Source organism: Homo sapiens, chromosome 21 (genome assembly GCF_000001405.40).
Source record: "Homo sapiens chromosome 21, GRCh38.p14 Primary Assembly".
In the NCBI taxonomy this organism is placed as follows: Eukaryota; Metazoa; Chordata; class Mammalia; order Primates; family Hominidae; genus Homo; species Homo sapiens.
The window spans coordinates 33,015,553-33,031,119 of NC_000021.9; the positions used below are offsets into that span (position 1 = coordinate 33,015,553).

General features: G+C 54.5%; 1 protein-coding gene across 2 annotated transcripts, besides 1 other annotated feature; it reads left to right on the plus strand.

Annotated features, from left to right (window-relative positions):
* Positions 10,212-11,114: an enhancer, noted in NCBI's record as "H3K27ac-H3K4me1 hESC enhancer chr21:34398072-34398974 (GRCh37/hg19 assembly coordinates)". NCBI's record gives its function as "activates a minimal SCP1, AML or CMV promoter by ChIP-STARR-seq in naive H9 embryonic stem cells {active_cell/tissue: H9 hESC(naive)}" and the evidence as "EXISTENCE:reporter gene assay evidence [ECO:0000049][PMID:30033119]".
* Positions 10,383-13,633, plus strand: OLIG2 (oligodendrocyte transcription factor 2). Of its 2 annotated transcripts, none has more exons than NM_005806.4 (2): positions 10,383-10,474; positions 11,249-13,633. In NM_005806.4, exon 2 carries the CDS (start codon positions 11,311-11,313, stop codon positions 12,280-12,282), a length of 972 nt encoding a protein of 323 aa, NP_005797.1. In that variant the 5' UTR covers positions 10,383-10,474; positions 11,249-11,310; the 3' UTR covers positions 12,283-13,633. The 2 variants fall into 2 exon arrangements, with proteins under 2 accessions (NP_005797.1, XP_005260965.1); XM_005260908.2 differs by lacking the exon at positions 10,383-10,474 and adding an exon at positions 10,484-10,708.

The window sequence follows — 15,567 nt, forward strand, 5'->3', positions numbered from 1 at the left end:
ATAAAAACCAACATGATGGCTTTAACAAAGCAGAAGGGTTTGTTCTCTCATCTAAGAGACCAAAGCATTGGTCCCCAGCAGGTCTGGCACCCATAGTATCAGCGACCCAGGTTCCTTCTCTTTTCATGCTCTTTTATATGTGGCCCCACAGCCAACTTATGATCCTCAATGACTCCTCCAGCCTCCACCATCACGGAGGTTGGGGTTCTGCCTAGCTGGGAGATGAGAATGGAATGAGAAGAACATGCTGTCTCTGGAAGGATAGCTCTGGAAGTTGCCCATGCCACTTCTGTTTACTTCCTACTGGCCAGAACTTGGTCACAAAAGAGGCTGGGAAATGTAAGGAGTCTGGGATATGTAGTTTTAATTCCAGGTGGCCACATGCCAAACCAAAAAGCCTATTTCTACATAGAAAGTGGAACAGATTTGGAGGAACAATCAGCGATGTTTGCCATGCCGCCATATGACCAGGAAACCCTTGTGTTAATCACATGCACTCTAACCACCTCTCAGGGCTGTGGAGGGAATCAAAGAAATTGTAATAATTGTGATCACAATTACTTCGAGCATAAAGTTTGAGAGCAGAGATGCTGCAGGACCTCAGCACCTATGACAGTTCATGGCACAGGAAAGGAGCTCAATAAACATCGATTGAATTATTTACTTAAAACATAAATATTCCTCAGCAGATATAATGCATTGACGCACCTGGGCTGCTTTGCTCAACTCCTTGGAAAAGTCGCTGGTAAATCTTTGGAAGGATTGGAAATGGTTCCAGATGTTGAAATCATTTGTAATTTGTAGCATTGATGTTTTGAGGAGGGAAGTGACACTTTATTATTCTCCCCTGTAGCGCCACCGTGGTCAGTCTCGTCACCTATTCTGACATCCAAATTAGAAATCATCTTTTCCCTGGACTCAGGAAAATAAAAGTTGAGCATTTAAATTAGCCATCAGGCAGTCTCTCTTATACACTGCAACATAAATGGGGACAACAACGGTTAAGTGACAATTTGGTAACATCTACCAAAATTACAATGCACAGATTATGTGGCCCAGTAATGCTAATTCCAGGGATTTATCCTTATGATATACTACATATTTACACCTGTGCAAATGAAAATTTGCCAGGTATTTCATGGGAGCATTGTTTGTAATACTAAAAAGCTGGACAGGCCACTAGCTGTCAATTAAACCTATAATGTGTTGGGATTCCAGCTAGCTGGGAGATGAGAATGGAATGAGAGGGACATGCTCTCTCTCTTGAAGGATGCCAAGAATGAAGAGAGAAGGACCCTGGGTCCCTGACACTATGGGTGCCAGACCTGCTGGGAACAAATGCTCTGGTCTCTTAGATGAGAGAACAAACCCTTCTGCTTTGTTAAACCTATGTTTATTATTGACAGCAAGTGGCCCATCGAAAGACATTATGGCATGCCCATATTACAAAAGGATGGAAATATTTTTAAGGAAGAAACTTTTAACAGACAGCTACAAAGCCATCTCCAAGACACTAACTGGATAAAAGCAAGATGGAGAACAGTGTGCATAGTATGTTACCATTTGTATAAAAAGGGGAACAGAGTGTATATGTTTACATTTGCTTCTATTTGCATAGAATACCTCTGGAAGGACAGACAAAAGAGTAACTGAGCAAGAGAACTGGGTGGCTGGGGGAACAAGTGTAGTAAACAAACTTTGCATTATATGTTTTTGAATTTTGAACTATGTAAATATATCACATATTCAAAAATAATCAAACAAAAAATAATAGCTCATTAGCTTCATCTAGTGGTCTTATATATATTCTTTAAAATATGTCTGTCTAGATCCCTCTGATTGATTGCCCTACAAATAGGAGAGAAGAAATACTACTGTTTTTGCAATTACAGTAGGAAAAAGTGGACCCATCTGTACATTTCAGGCAGTGCCTAAAAGTACTGGGGCCAGCTTAGAGAAGTTTATTCAGTGCAGGAAGCACCCTGATCTCCCATCATCTGGGGCACAGACTGTCCTAGCTTCTCTGTGACTGAGGCAAGAAAAAAAAAAAAGCACCATAAAGAGCCAGGTAGCTTTTTTTGAGGTTGGGGGGGTGGGGCAGTGGGAAGGTCCTAGTTTTGATTGGGCAAATAATTTTTCCTGCACCTGTGACCAATCTGGTGAGGATGTTTGAGAAACAATTCTTTTTTTTGGAGACAGTCTCACTCTGTCACCCAGGCTAGAGTGAAGTGACATGACCTCGGCTCATTGCAACCTCTGCCTCTTGGGTTCAAGCGATTCTCCTGCTCCAGCCTCCTGGGTAGCTGAGATTATAGGCTCCCACCACCACGCCCGGCTAATTTTTGTATTTTTAGTAGAGACAGGGTTTCACCATGTTGGCCAGGCTGGTCTTGAACTCCTGACCTCAGGTGATTCGCCTGCCTCGGCCTCCCAAAGTGCTGGGATTACAGGCGTGAGCCACCGCACCCTGCCCTGAGGAAAAAATGTATTCTATGTATTCTAAATATGGGCTGCAGGTATGTGTGTGTGTGTTTGTAGGTTTAGAAAGAGAGCATTCTCTATTCAGTGGAGAGAGCAAGGTACAGAAACAACAGTGGACAGAGCATGCCACCATTTGTGTGAAAAAAGAAGAGAAAGAGAGATCTTTAAATATACTTTGTACTTGTGAAGAATATTTATAGAATACACAAGAAACTGTAACAGTAGTTGCCTCTGGGGGTCTGGGGGAAGGAGATCAGTTGTACCAGGGAGACTTACTTTTAATCAAATAACCTGTCTACTATTGGAGTTTTACTTCAGGTACGTGCTGCACAGCAGCTATTCAAGACATGTTTTAAAGAGAAGGGAATTTCAGTTTATATGATGTCCTTCCATCCCCTCCTTCTTTCCTTCCTCCCTTCCTTTCCTTCCTTCCTTCCTGCCTTCCTTCCTTCCTTCCACTCTCCCTCCGTCCCTCAACCCCCCTTTCTTTTTTATTTCTTTCTTAGTGCAAACTGTAAACACCGCCTAAACAGAATGGCCTCTTTGCTTAGACAAATGCCTTCGATTCAACCTAGAAGCAGATGACCTTTTGTTGTTGTTGTTGTTGGAAGTGGGGAAAGAAAAAAGGAATCAATGTCTAAAACTCCCACACTTTGCAAAGTCACAGAACCCAAGTTCTGCCTGGTCACAACTGCAGTCAAGGAATGTCTTGCTCCCACCTTAAAGTCATTCTTCCTGGAGCCAACGAAGTCACTTAAAGACCAGTGGGCTCAGCTTTCCACACACACCTGCCTCTTCTTTGGGCAAAGTGGGAACCAATTCTTCCCTCTGTATCTGCAGGGAAAGACTCTGCAAAGGAGAGCGAGCTCTGGGCGCAGAGCGCCAAAGGGCCCAGGAGGAGAGCACGCCTTCCGTTCTTGTCAGGAGGGGGCCCTGACCCCAGGGTCTTCCCAGCACAACCATCCACACAGTGGAAACAGATTTCAGGGGGTCCAGCTCTGGCCAGTTTTTCAGGGCTGAACGAGCCCTGGGCAAAGGAGAGGAAGGTCTAAAAGGGATTGAATGGTGCAGCCCTACACTGTTAAAGGGGATTGGGTGGATCTTGTTTTTATATGGGAAGACATCTAAGAGGTGCTGAGAAATGAAATAAAGCAGGTTACAAAGTTTGTATACAACCAGGCTGGAAGGGCATTCATCAAAATCTTGACAGTGGTTTGCTGGGAGGGGCAGAGGTGTTGAAATGGTAATGGTGACGTTTGCTTTCTGTATCATTTCAAAGTTTTGGTTTGTTTTTGTTTATAATGCACATGCATGTTTTTAACAGCATGCTTACTGAATGTTATTTCACAGGTGGTCAAGGGGTTTGAAGGCACGACTATTCATATGATTTGGGAGAGGTTGCTGAATCTCCAGGAGATACCCTTGTGAGCTTCAGACTGGGGTCTGTGTCTGGGACTGGAAGACCCCAGGACATTGGAGAGAGGAGCAAAGCCTAGAGCATGAGCCCCAGAAGACGCCACTGTGCCGGTGCACCACCTGGGGACTTTGGCTTATGTGGATTCTGTTTCAGTAGATCTGGGTGGGATCGAGATCTTTTATTTCCAACCAACACCCACGTCCCAGGACCTCACTGGAAAGAGGCGGGCGGGCGCGGGGAGCCTTCCTGAGGTTCCTGGTTCTCAAGAGCCGGGTGTAAGGAAGGAAAATCAAAGATTGAATTTAGATGTATGTATTGGAGGGGAATATTGGAGGAAGGGGGAGCAGGGGAGCACGCCCAGCCTCCTCTCCTGTCTTTCCCGCCCCCTTGTCTAAACTCAAAACCGAGTCCGGGCGCGCCTTGCAGGGCGCCCGAGCTCTGCAGCGGCGTTGCGGGCTGAACCCATCCGGCACAAACTGCGGGCCACTGGCCCCTCACACCTGGGAGTTTGCGGCGCTGGCCTGCAGCCCGGGGCCCACGTGGCGGAAGCTTTCCCGGGCGCGCGCTGCGCAGCCCCGCGGGGCCGGGGAGACACCGCTCGGGAGTCCTCCGCTCGGCTGCAGAATCTTTATCAGCTGCACTTTACCGCAGCCCTGGCTAGGACGCTAGGCGGTGGAGCGCCCTATCCAGGTGCGCCGCCGCACCATGGATCACCGCGCCCGGTCCCGCAGTCCCGCCATGGCCTGGGGAGGCCCGAAGCCCGGGGACAGTGGCCGGCCCATCTCCGGCTCCGCGGACCCCCGGCTCAGGCGGGAGGGCAGGCGGGTCCCTGCAGGCCCCCAGGGAGCCCGGGAGCCTCTCTCTGGCGTCATTCAGTCCCGGGGCAACCTGAAGCGCGGTAGATATTGGAGAGGGGGCGTCTGTTGGGGGGACCTGGCGTCATTACTGATGGCTAGCAGGGAGGAGGGAACGGGTTGTCACCTCGGCCTCATAAGGCCGTGAGTGAGTAGTCCAGGGCCTCTTCAGGCATTTTTGAAACTGGATTAACTAGGGGGGAAATTGTAGCACTGAAGCCACCGTGACTGTCTTTTGCGCTGTGTGGAAACTCCGGTAAAACTCTTTGGGCAACAGTCTTATCACCAGCTCTTCAACGTGTGCAGCCCTTCTGGTCCTGTCCCTGTTCTGGGCCCCAGGAATGCAAAGCAGGTCCAGGCACTGTGAAGACCCTGGCGGTGGAGGAAGAGGCTTCCCGGCTGTGGAGGAAGCCAGACCCTTACAACACAAGACGAGAACCAGACCTGCGTGGGGGAGCTCTGGATGCTACAGGGGCTCAAGGAGGGGTGGAGGGGCCTTCCCAGGCCAACCCCTGAACGGCTTGGACAAGATGCTCAGATGGACGGGAGGAACGGCGTGTGGGATGGGGGAGCTGGAGGCGGGTGGGTGGGGGGGGGAGGATGGGGAAAGCGCTGGCCCACCCAGTGTGGGAGGGGTAGAGGAAAAGCCCGCAGGGGCCAGGTTGGGACCCCGTAGGCCGGGTTAGAGGGCTTGGACTTGATCCTGACAGGCGACAGGGAGACATATTGCTACTTATTATGTGCACAGTGGCCAGATCTCTAAAGAAAACACCATCCCCCACCCCCACCCCCCATATAGTAAACCAGGTGGTCCGCCCAGTGCTCCCAGGGAGGTGATGGGAAATCCCACTCCATACCCTGCGGTGAGGGGTTCCATGCCCTCCACGTGTGCAACTACTCCGGGCCCAGGGAAACACTGGGCCCCATCCGGTAACCCCCGGCCCAGTCGGGTTTCCCAGTTCACATTATAACCAAACGGTCTTGCCAGCTAGACAGACAGACACCCCTGACCTGTTTACCCTGATCCTCTGCTCTCAGGATTAATCACAACTTGTCGAAGGGGGTGGCTTCCAGTGGGGTGGACCGCTCTGTCAATGCCAGCGTGTGTCTAGCATCTCCTGGGGTGGGGGTGTGGGGAAGGGAGGTGTAGGATGAAGCCCTAGAAGCCTCAGGCAATTGTGATCCGGTGGGCTGGATACTGAAGCCCACCCCTGCCTTGACCTCAATTTTCAGTATCTTCATCTGTAAAATGGGAACAACCTGCCTTCCTCCTAGCCCTAAAGGGGCTGCTGTCAAGATTGGCTGAGATAGCTGTTTGCAAGCTGAGCTCAATGAAAGTTCATTGTGTCCCCCTCAGTCCTATCCCAATATCGTCTCACTGCAAAGGTGGGGGGCAGCTTAACTTCAAGGGCACTTCAAGGATAGCCAGGTGGCTGTCAGCCCAGCTTTCCAGGATGGGAGCAGGATCTTGACAGAAGGGTTGACTGGGAGGGGCAGTTGCTGGTTTGGGCTTCGTTAGGTTGCATTTTTGTTTGTTGTCCTTTCATTTCCCTGGGGCAGCACCCCTTCCTGCAAGCTCCAGGCCTTCCTCTGGAATGCTCCTAGAGCCCAACCTCTGCTGGTGCCTGAGCTTAAGCCAGGCCAGCTAAGGGGATCCTGGATTCACACGGCCTCACAGTCACTCAGATTGTTAGCAGAAGACAAAAATTACAAGGGGAGGGCGTCATGTGATTCTTACACACCCTCCAAATCCAGCAGACACCTTGGAAGCCACAGGTAGCTTCAAGAAACCCATTTTACGGATGAGAACCTGAGATGGAGAAAGGACAACTGGAGATCTCTGAGTCTCTGAGCCCACACTCCCTACCTCCCTGCACCTCCAGGCACTCTGCTGGCAGGATCTTGGGCAAATGCCCACAGCTCTCTGAGAGTCAGTTTTCCTGTCTGTAAAATGGGAGTCATACCTTCCTCCTATGGCCGGTGAGAGACTAAATTAAACTATGTCTGTCAAGACACCTGAAACTCCTGGCACAATTTAGGTTGCCTTCAAGTGGTCACAGTTGTCATTAGGTGGAAGTCAACACCCCAATCATTGTAAAGGTGCCCATATACCCCAAGATCCAGATTACAGCTCTCACAGTTTATTATATACAGCGAAAAAACACATAACACACCTTTGCCCACATTTACATGTATTTTACGGACCATGTTTCACATCAGTCCGCATGCACATCTGCACGTGTGTGCATTCGGCAGTATTTACCAAGCACCTGCCAAGTGCCAGGGCCTGTCCTCCGCACCCGGCGTGAACTGTCCTGGACCAGTCCCGGGAGCCGCGGTTCTGACCAGCCGTGCTGACCCTGGACGACTCCATGAGCTGTTTTGTGAGAAAGACACGCCATTTGTTTGCAGAGTTCTGACTTCTGAGGGGTCATGTAGCACATGTTTGGTAGCCAAACGCTGTCATTCACGACCAGGAGCGATGGCTGCAATGCCTTTTTCTTTGCTTTGCTTTCCGGTGCCGGGAGCCTTGCCTCCCGCCGCCACCCCTGGTCAGCTCTGCGCAAGAACGTCGTTCTGTTTGGCAGCCAGGCCGAGACGCAGCCTGAATGTGAGCAGGAACTCGGAGAAGGGAAGGGAGAGAATCAGAAAGAAGGCCCGGGAGGGACCCGGGAAGCAGTGGGAGGTCTGCGCCCTGGAGCCCCGCGAGAGCCCGCCGGTTTGGCACGGGCTCCTCCCGGGCCGCCCGGCGGTCCAACAAAGGCCGGCCCCGACACGCACCCGGTCTTTTGTGGGAGAGAAACACAAAGAAGAGGGAAAAACACGGAGGAGGCCAACAGCACCAGGACGCGGGGGCCAACCAGGAACTCCCGGAGCCGGGGCCCATTAGCCTCTGCAAATGAGCACTCCATTCCCCAGGAAGGGGCCCCAGCTGCGCGCGCTGGTGGGAACCGCAGTGCCTGGGACCCGCCCAGGTCGCCCACCCCGGGCGCCGGGCGCAGGACCCGGACAAGTCCTGGGGACGCCTCCAGGACGCACCAGGGCAAGCTTGGGCACCGGGATCTAATTTCTAGTTATTCCTGGGACGGGGTGGGGAGGCATAGGAGACACACCGAGAGGTACTCAGCATCCGATTGGCACCAGGGCCAAGGGAGCCCAGGGGCGACACAGACCTCCCCGACCTCCCAAGCTACTCCGGCGACGGGAGGATGTTGAGGGAAGCCTGCCAGGTGAAGAAGGGGCCAGCAGCAGCACAGAGCTTCCGACTTTGCCTTCCAGGCTCTAGACTCGCGCCATGCCAAGACGGGCCCCTCGACTTTCACCCCTGACTCCCAACTCCAGCCACTGGACCGAGCGCGCAAAGAACCTGAGACCGCTTGCTCTCACCGCCGCAAGTCGGTCGCAGGACAGACACCAGTGGGCAGCAACAAAAAAAGAAACCGGGTTCCGGGACACGTGCCGGCGGCTGGACTAACCTCAGCGGCTGCAACCAAGGAGCGCGCACGTTGCGCCTGCTGGTGTTTATTAGCTACACTGGCAGGCGCACAACTCCGCGCCCCGACTGGTGGCCCCACAGCGCGCACCACACATGGCCTCGCTGCTGTTGGCGGGGTAGGCCCGAAGGAGGCATCTACAAATGCCCGAGCCCTTTCTGATCCCCACCCCCCCGCTCCCTGCGTCGTCCGAGTGACAGATTCTACTAATTGAACGGTTATGGGTCATCCTTGTAACCGTTGGACGACATAACACCACGCTTCAGTTCTTCATGTTTTAAATACATATTTAACGGATGGCTGCAGAGCCAGCTGGGAAACACGCGGATTGAAAAATAATGCTCCAGAAGGCACGAGACTGGGGCGAAGGCGAGAGCGGGCTGGGCTTCTAGCGGAGACCGCAGAGGGAGACATATCTCAGAACTAGGGGCAATAACGTGGGTTTCTCTTTGTATTTGTTTATTTTGTAACTTTGCTACTTGAAGACCAATTATTTACTATGCTAATTTGTTTGCTTGTTTTTAAAACCGTACTTGCACAGTAAAAGTTCCCCAACAACGGAAGTAACCCGACGTTCCTCACACTCCCTAGGAGACTGTGTGCGTGTGTGCCCGCGCGTGCGCTCACAGTGTCAAGTGCTAGCATCCGAGATCTGCAGAAACAAATGTCTGAATTCGAAATGTATGGGTGTGAGAAATTCAGCTCGGGGAAGAGATTAGGGACTGGGGGAGACAGGTGGCTGCCTGTACTATAAGGAACCGCCAACGCCAGCATCTGTAGTCCAAGCAGGGCTGCTCTGTAAAGGCTTAGCAATTTTTTCTGTAGGCTTGCTGCACACGGTCTCTGGCTTTTCCCATCTGTAAAATGGGTGAATGCATCCGTACCTCAGCTACCTCCGTGAGGTGCTTCTCCAGTTCGGGCTTAATTCCTCATCGTCAAGAGTTTTCAGGTTTCAGAGCCAGCCTGCAATCGGTAAAACATGTCCCAACGCGGTCGCGAGTGGTTCCATCTCGCTGTCTGGCCCACAGCGTGGAGAAGCCTTGCCCAGGCCTGAAACTTCTCTTTGCAGTTCCAGAAAGCAGGCGACTGGGACGGAAGGCTCTTTGCTAACCTTTTACAGCGGAGCCCTGCTTGGACTACAGATGCCAGCGTTGCCCCTGCCCCAAGGCGTGTGGTGATCACAAAGACGACACTGAAAATACTTACTATCATCCGGCTCCCCTGCTAATAAATGGAGGGGTGTTTAACTACAGGCACGACCCTGCCCTTGTGCTAGCGCGGTTACCGTGCGGAAATAACTCGTCCCTGTACCCACACCATCCTCAACCTAAAGGAGAGTTGTGAATTCTTTCAAAACACTCTTCTGGAGTCCGTCCCCTCCCTCCTTGCCCGCCCTCTACCCCTCAAGTCCCTGCCCCCAGCTGGGGGCGCTACCGGCTGCCGTCGGAGCTGCAGCCACGGCCATCTCCTAGACGCGCGAGTAGAGCACCAAGATAGTGGGGACTTTGTGCCTGGGCATCGTTTACATTTGGGGCGCCAAATGCCCACGTGTTGATGAAACCAGTGAGATGGGAACAGGCGGCGGGAAACCAGACAGAGGAAGAGCTAGGGAGGAGACCCCAGCCCCGGATCCTGGGTCGCCAGGGTTTTCCGCGCGCATCCCAAAAGGTGCGGCTGCGTGGGGCATCAGGTTAGTTTGTTAGACTCTGCAGAGTCTCCAAACCATCCCATCCCCCAACCTGACTCTGTGGTGGCCGTATTTTTTACAGAAATTTGACCACGTTCCCTTTCTCCCTTGGTCCCAAGCGCGCTCAGCCCTCCCTCCATCCCCCTTGAGCCGCCCTTCTCCTCCCCCTCGCCTCCTCGGGTCCCTCCTCCAGTCCCTCCCCAAGAATCTCCCGGCCACGGGCGCCCATTGGTTGTGCGCAGGGAGGAGGCGTGTGCCCGGCCTGGCGAGTTTCATTGAGCGGAATTAGCCCGGATGACATCAGCTTCCCAGCCCCCCGGCGGGCCCAGCTCATTGGCGAGGCAGCCCCTCCAGGACACGCACATTGTTCCCCGCCCCCGCCCCCGCCACCGCTGCCGCCGTCGCCGCTGCCACCGGGCTATAAAAACCGGCCGAGCCCCTAAAGGTGCGGATGCTTATTATAGATCGACGCGACACCAGCGCCCGGTGCCAGGTTCTCCCCTGAGGCTTTTCGGAGCGAGCTCCTCAAATCGCATCCAGAGTAAGTGTCCCCGCCCCACAGCAGCCGCAGCCTAGATCCCAGGGACAGACTCTCCTCAACTCGGCTGTGACCCAGAATGCTCCGATACAGGGGGTCTGGATCCCTACTCTGCGGGCCATTTCTCCAGAGCGACTTTGCTCTTCTGTCCTCCCCACACTCACCGCTGCATCTCCCTCACCAAAAGCGAGAAGTCGGAGCGACAACAGCTCTTTCTGCCCAAGCCCCAGTCAGCTGGTGAGCTCCCCGTGGTCTCCAGATGCAGCACATGGACTCTGGGCCCCGCGCCGGCTCTGGGTGCATGTGCGTGTGCGTGTGTTTGCTGCGTGGTGTCGATGGAGATAAGGTGGATCCGTTTGAGGAACCAAATCATTAGTTCTCTATCTAGATCTCCATTCTCCCCAAAGAAAGGCCCTCACTTCCCACTCGTTTATTCCAGCCCGGGGGCTCAGTTTTCCCACACCTAACTGAAAGCCCGAAGCCTCTAGAATGCCACCCGCACCCCGAGGGTCACCAACGCTCCCTGAAATAACCTGTTGCATGAGAGCAGAGGGGAGATAGAGAGAGCTTAATTATAGGTACCCGCGTGCAGCTAAAAGGAGGGCCAGAGATAGTAGCGAGGGGGACGAGGAGCCACGGGCCACCTGTGCCGGGACCCCGCGCTGTGGTACTGCGGTGCAGGCGGGAGCAGCTTTTCTGTCTCTCACTGACTCACTCTCTCTCTCTCTCCCTCTCTCTCTCTCTCATTCTCTCTCTTTTCTCCTCCTCTCCTGGAAGTTTTCGGGTCCGAGGGAAGGAGGACCCTGCGAAAGCTGCGACGACTATCTTCCCCTGGGGCCATGGACTCGGACGCCAGCCTGGTGTCCAGCCGCCCGTCGTCGCCAGAGCCCGATGACCTTTTTCTGCCGGCCCGGAGTAAGGGCAGCAGCGGCAGCGCCTTCACTGGGGGCACCGTGTCCTCGTCCACCCCGAGTGACTGCCCGCCGGAGCTGAGCGCCGAGCTGCGCGGCGCTATGGGCTCTGCGGGCGCGCATCCTGGGGACAAGCTAGGAGGCAGTGGCTTCAAGTCATCCTCGTCCAGCACCTCGTCGTCTACGTCGTCGGCGGCTGCGTCGTCCACCAAGAAGGACAAGAAGCAAATGACAGAGCCGGAGCTGCAGCAGCTGCGTCTCAAGATCAACAGCCGCGAGCGCAAGCGCATGCACGACCTCAACATCGCCATGGATGGCCTCCGCGAGGTCATGCCGTACGCACACGGCCCTTCGGTGCGCAAGCTTTCCAAGATCGCCACGCTGCTGCTGGCGCGCAACTACATCCTCATGCTCACCAACTCGCTGGAGGAGATGAAGCGACTGGTGAGCGAGATCTACGGGGGCCACCACGCTGGCTTCCACCCGTCGGCCTGCGGCGGCCTGGCGCACTCCGCGCCCCTGCCCGCCGCCACCGCGCACCCGGCAGCAGCAGCGCACGCCGCACATCACCCCGCGGTGCACCACCCCATCCTGCCGCCCGCCGCCGCAGCGGCTGCTGCCGCCGCTGCAGCCGCGGCTGTGTCCAGCGCCTCTCTGCCCGGATCCGGGCTGCCGTCGGTCGGCTCCATCCGTCCACCGCACGGCCTACTCAAGTCTCCGTCTGCTGCCGCGGCCGCCCCGCTGGGGGGCGGGGGCGGCGGCAGTGGGGCGAGCGGGGGCTTCCAGCACTGGGGCGGCATGCCCTGCCCCTGCAGCATGTGCCAGGTGCCGCCGCCGCACCACCACGTGTCGGCTATGGGCGCCGGCAGCCTGCCGCGCCTCACCTCCGACGCCAAGTGAGCCGACTGGCGCCGGCGCGTTCTGGCGACAGGGGAGCCAGGGGCCGCGGGGAAGCGAGGACTGGCCTGCGCTGGGCTCGGGAGCTCTGTCGCGAGGAGGGGCGCAGGACCATGGACTGGGGGTGGGGCATGGTGGGGATTCCAGCATCTGCGAACCCAAGCAATGGGGGCGCCCACAGAGCAGTGGGGAGTGAGGGGATGTTCTCTCCGGGACCTGATCGAGCGCTGTCTGGCTTTAACCTGAGCTGGTCCAGTAGACATCGTTTTATGAAAAGGTACCGCTGTGTGCATTCCTCACTAGAACTCATCCGACCCCCGACCCCCACCTCCGGGAAAAGATTCTAAAAACTTCTTTCCCTGAGAGCGTGGCCTGACTTGCAGACTCGGCTTGGGCAGCACTTCGGGGGGGGAGGGGGTGTTATGGGAGGGGGACACATTGGGGCCTTGCTCCTCTTCCTCCTTTCTTGGCGGGTGGGAGACTCCGGGTAGCCGCACTGCAGAAGCAACAGCCCGACCGCGCCCTCCAGGGTCGTCCCTGGCCCAAGGCCAGGGGCCACAAGTTAGTTGGAAGCCGGCGTTCGGTATCAGAAGCGCTGATGGTCATATCCAATCTCAATATCTGGGTCAATCCACACCCTCTTAGAACTGTGGCCGTTCCTCCCTGTCTCTCGTTGATTTGGGAGAATATGGTTTTCTAATAAATCTGTGGATGTTCCTTCTTCAACAGTATGAGCAAGTTTATAGACATTCAGAGTAGAACCACTTGTGGATTGGAATAACCCAAAACTGCCGATTTCAGGGGCGGGTGCATTGTAGTTATTATTTTAAAATAGAAACTACCCCACCGACTCATCTTTCCTTCTCTAAGCACAAAGTGATTTGGTTATTTTGGTACCTGAGAACGTAACAGAATTAAAAGGCAGTTGCTGTGGAAACAGTTTGGGTTATTTGGGGGTTCTGTTGGCTTTTTAAAATTTTCTTTTTTGGATGTGTAAATTTATCAATGATGAGGTAAGTGCGCAATGCTAAGCTGTTTGCTCACGTGACTGCCAGCCCCATCGGAGTCTAAGCCGGCTTTCCTCTATTTTGGTTTATTTTTGCCACGTTTAACACAAATGGTAAACTCCTCCACGTGCTTCCTGCGTTCCGTGCAAGCCGCCTCGGCGCTGCCTGCGTTGCAAACTGGGCTTTGTAGCGTCTGCCGTGTAACACCCTTCCTCTGATCGCACCGCCCCTCGCAGAGAGTGTATCATCTGTTTTATTTTTGTAAAAACAAAGTGCTAAATAATATTTATTACTTGTTTGGTTGCAAAAACGGAATAAATGACTGAGTGTTGAGATTTTAAATAAAATTTAAAGTAAAGTCGGGGGATTTCCATCCGTGTGCCACCCCGAAAAGGGGTTCAGGACGCGATACCTTGGGACCGGATTTGGGGATCGTTCCCCCAGTTTGGCACTAGAGACACACATGCATTATCTTTCAAACATGTTCCGGGCAAATCCTCCGGGTCTTTTTCACAACTTGCTTGTCCTTATTTTTATTTTCTGACGCCTAACCCGGAACTGCCTTTCTCTTCAGTTGAGTATTGAGCTCCTTTATAAGCAGACATTTCCTTCCCGGAGCATCGGACTTTGGGACTTGCAGGGTGAGGGCTGCGCCTTTGGCTGGGGGTCTGGGCTCTCAGGAGTCCTCTACTGCTCGATTTTTAGATTTTTATTTCCTTTCTGCTCAGAGGCGGTCTCCCGTCACCACCTTCCCCCTGCGGGTTTCCTTGGCTTCAGCTGCGGACCTGGATTCTGCGGAGCCGTAGCGTTCCCAGCAAAGCGCTTGGGGAGTGCTTGGTGCAGAATCTACTAACCCTTCCATTCCTTTTCAGCCATCTCCACTACCCTCCCCCAGCGGCCACCCCCGCCTTGAGCTGCAAAGGATCAGGTGCTCCGCACCTCTGGAGGAGCACTGGCAGCGCTTTGGCCTCTGTGCTCTTTCCTGGGGTCACCTCTGTCTCCTCTTGGCCATTGGGTTCTCACAATCCAAACCCGCGATGCAAATTTAGGATGTGGCTGTGAAGAGAGATTCTGGGTGGAAATAAAAATACTTTGGCCTTCCTGGTCAAGGACCAGGGCAGATCCTGTTGTAGTCTCCGTGCCCCAGGGCTGGCCTGAGAATGAGCCCCTGAAAAGACAGCGGGTACGGGCACCGTAAGAACATCCCCTGGTCCAGGGTCCTCTCTCTGACAATATTTTTGGTGGCCACTGGCCACCCTGGAACTGGGGGTGCAGAAGATTTCCCCAGTCAGAACCCCATTTCTTGAGTCGCATAGCTGAGCCTGGCTCACACAGGCAGGCACCCTTTGCTTAGACTTAAAGACTGCTCCGTCCCCTAGCAAGGGACAGGCACTTCCTGCTCCTCCAGCAGGGAATGTCGGACTGCTGGCCAGAACAGCAGTGGCCCAGGGATTGGGTGCTGGAGGCCTAGTTTTTCACCGATGGGCCTGGCTTTTTGCAAAGGCTGGGAGGGATTTGGAGAGGCTGAGCAGCTGGGGGCTGAAGACGGGTGGAAAGCCTCCTGCCCCCACCACCCCAACAGCGCCATGTGAATCCAAGAAGAAGGAAGGGCAGGGTGTAGTCGTTTTTATTCTGAAATCCCATTTGAAATGAAACTTGAAAAGAATTCAAAACTGGGTCCAGCTGCAGCCACAGACACACTCAGAGGGACTCCAGGAGGCTGGAACGTAGACCAGTGGGCGCTGAGAACCTGGCCGGTGGGGGTAGGGGTCTTGATTGCAGTTTTGGCTCTTCCACACCCACTGCCAGGCAGGTGTACTGGTGCAGGCTCTGAGTGTGCTTGGTGTCTGCATAGAAGGACGGTTGTTGAAAGGCAATAAATCAAGTCTTTCCCTCCACCCCTGCACCCAAGCTTTCAGTAGCAACCAGCCACCAGCCAGGCCAGGCAAGACCAGGGCCTCTGAAGAAGGAGGGGCTGTGTCCAGCCAGGCTTTGGGCCCTCCTCCATGCCAGCCGCCTAAACTGTGCACCCAGCTGGAGGCCTTGACCACGGTGGGTGAGACTGGAGCAGCTCTGGACGTGGAGGAGGAAGACACTGGCACACAGTGCACATCCCCTAGAACAGGTGGCTACTCGCCGAGGGTGGCCCTGGACTGGTGGGGGCCAAGGTAGAGGACTCAGCCAGTGGCTGGGCTTTGATGTAGGGCAGGAGAAGACTGTGTGCAACCACTTTGACTTTGGTGGGCTCTTCATTGGCAGTGGGCTCCTCACCAAGTAGGGA

What these genes read in the sequence shown, in the direction of transcription:
- OLIG2 (NM_005806.4), top strand. Translation starts at nt 11,311, where the DNA reads ATGGACTCGGACGCCAGCCTGGTGTCCAGCCGCCCGTCGTCGCCAGAG.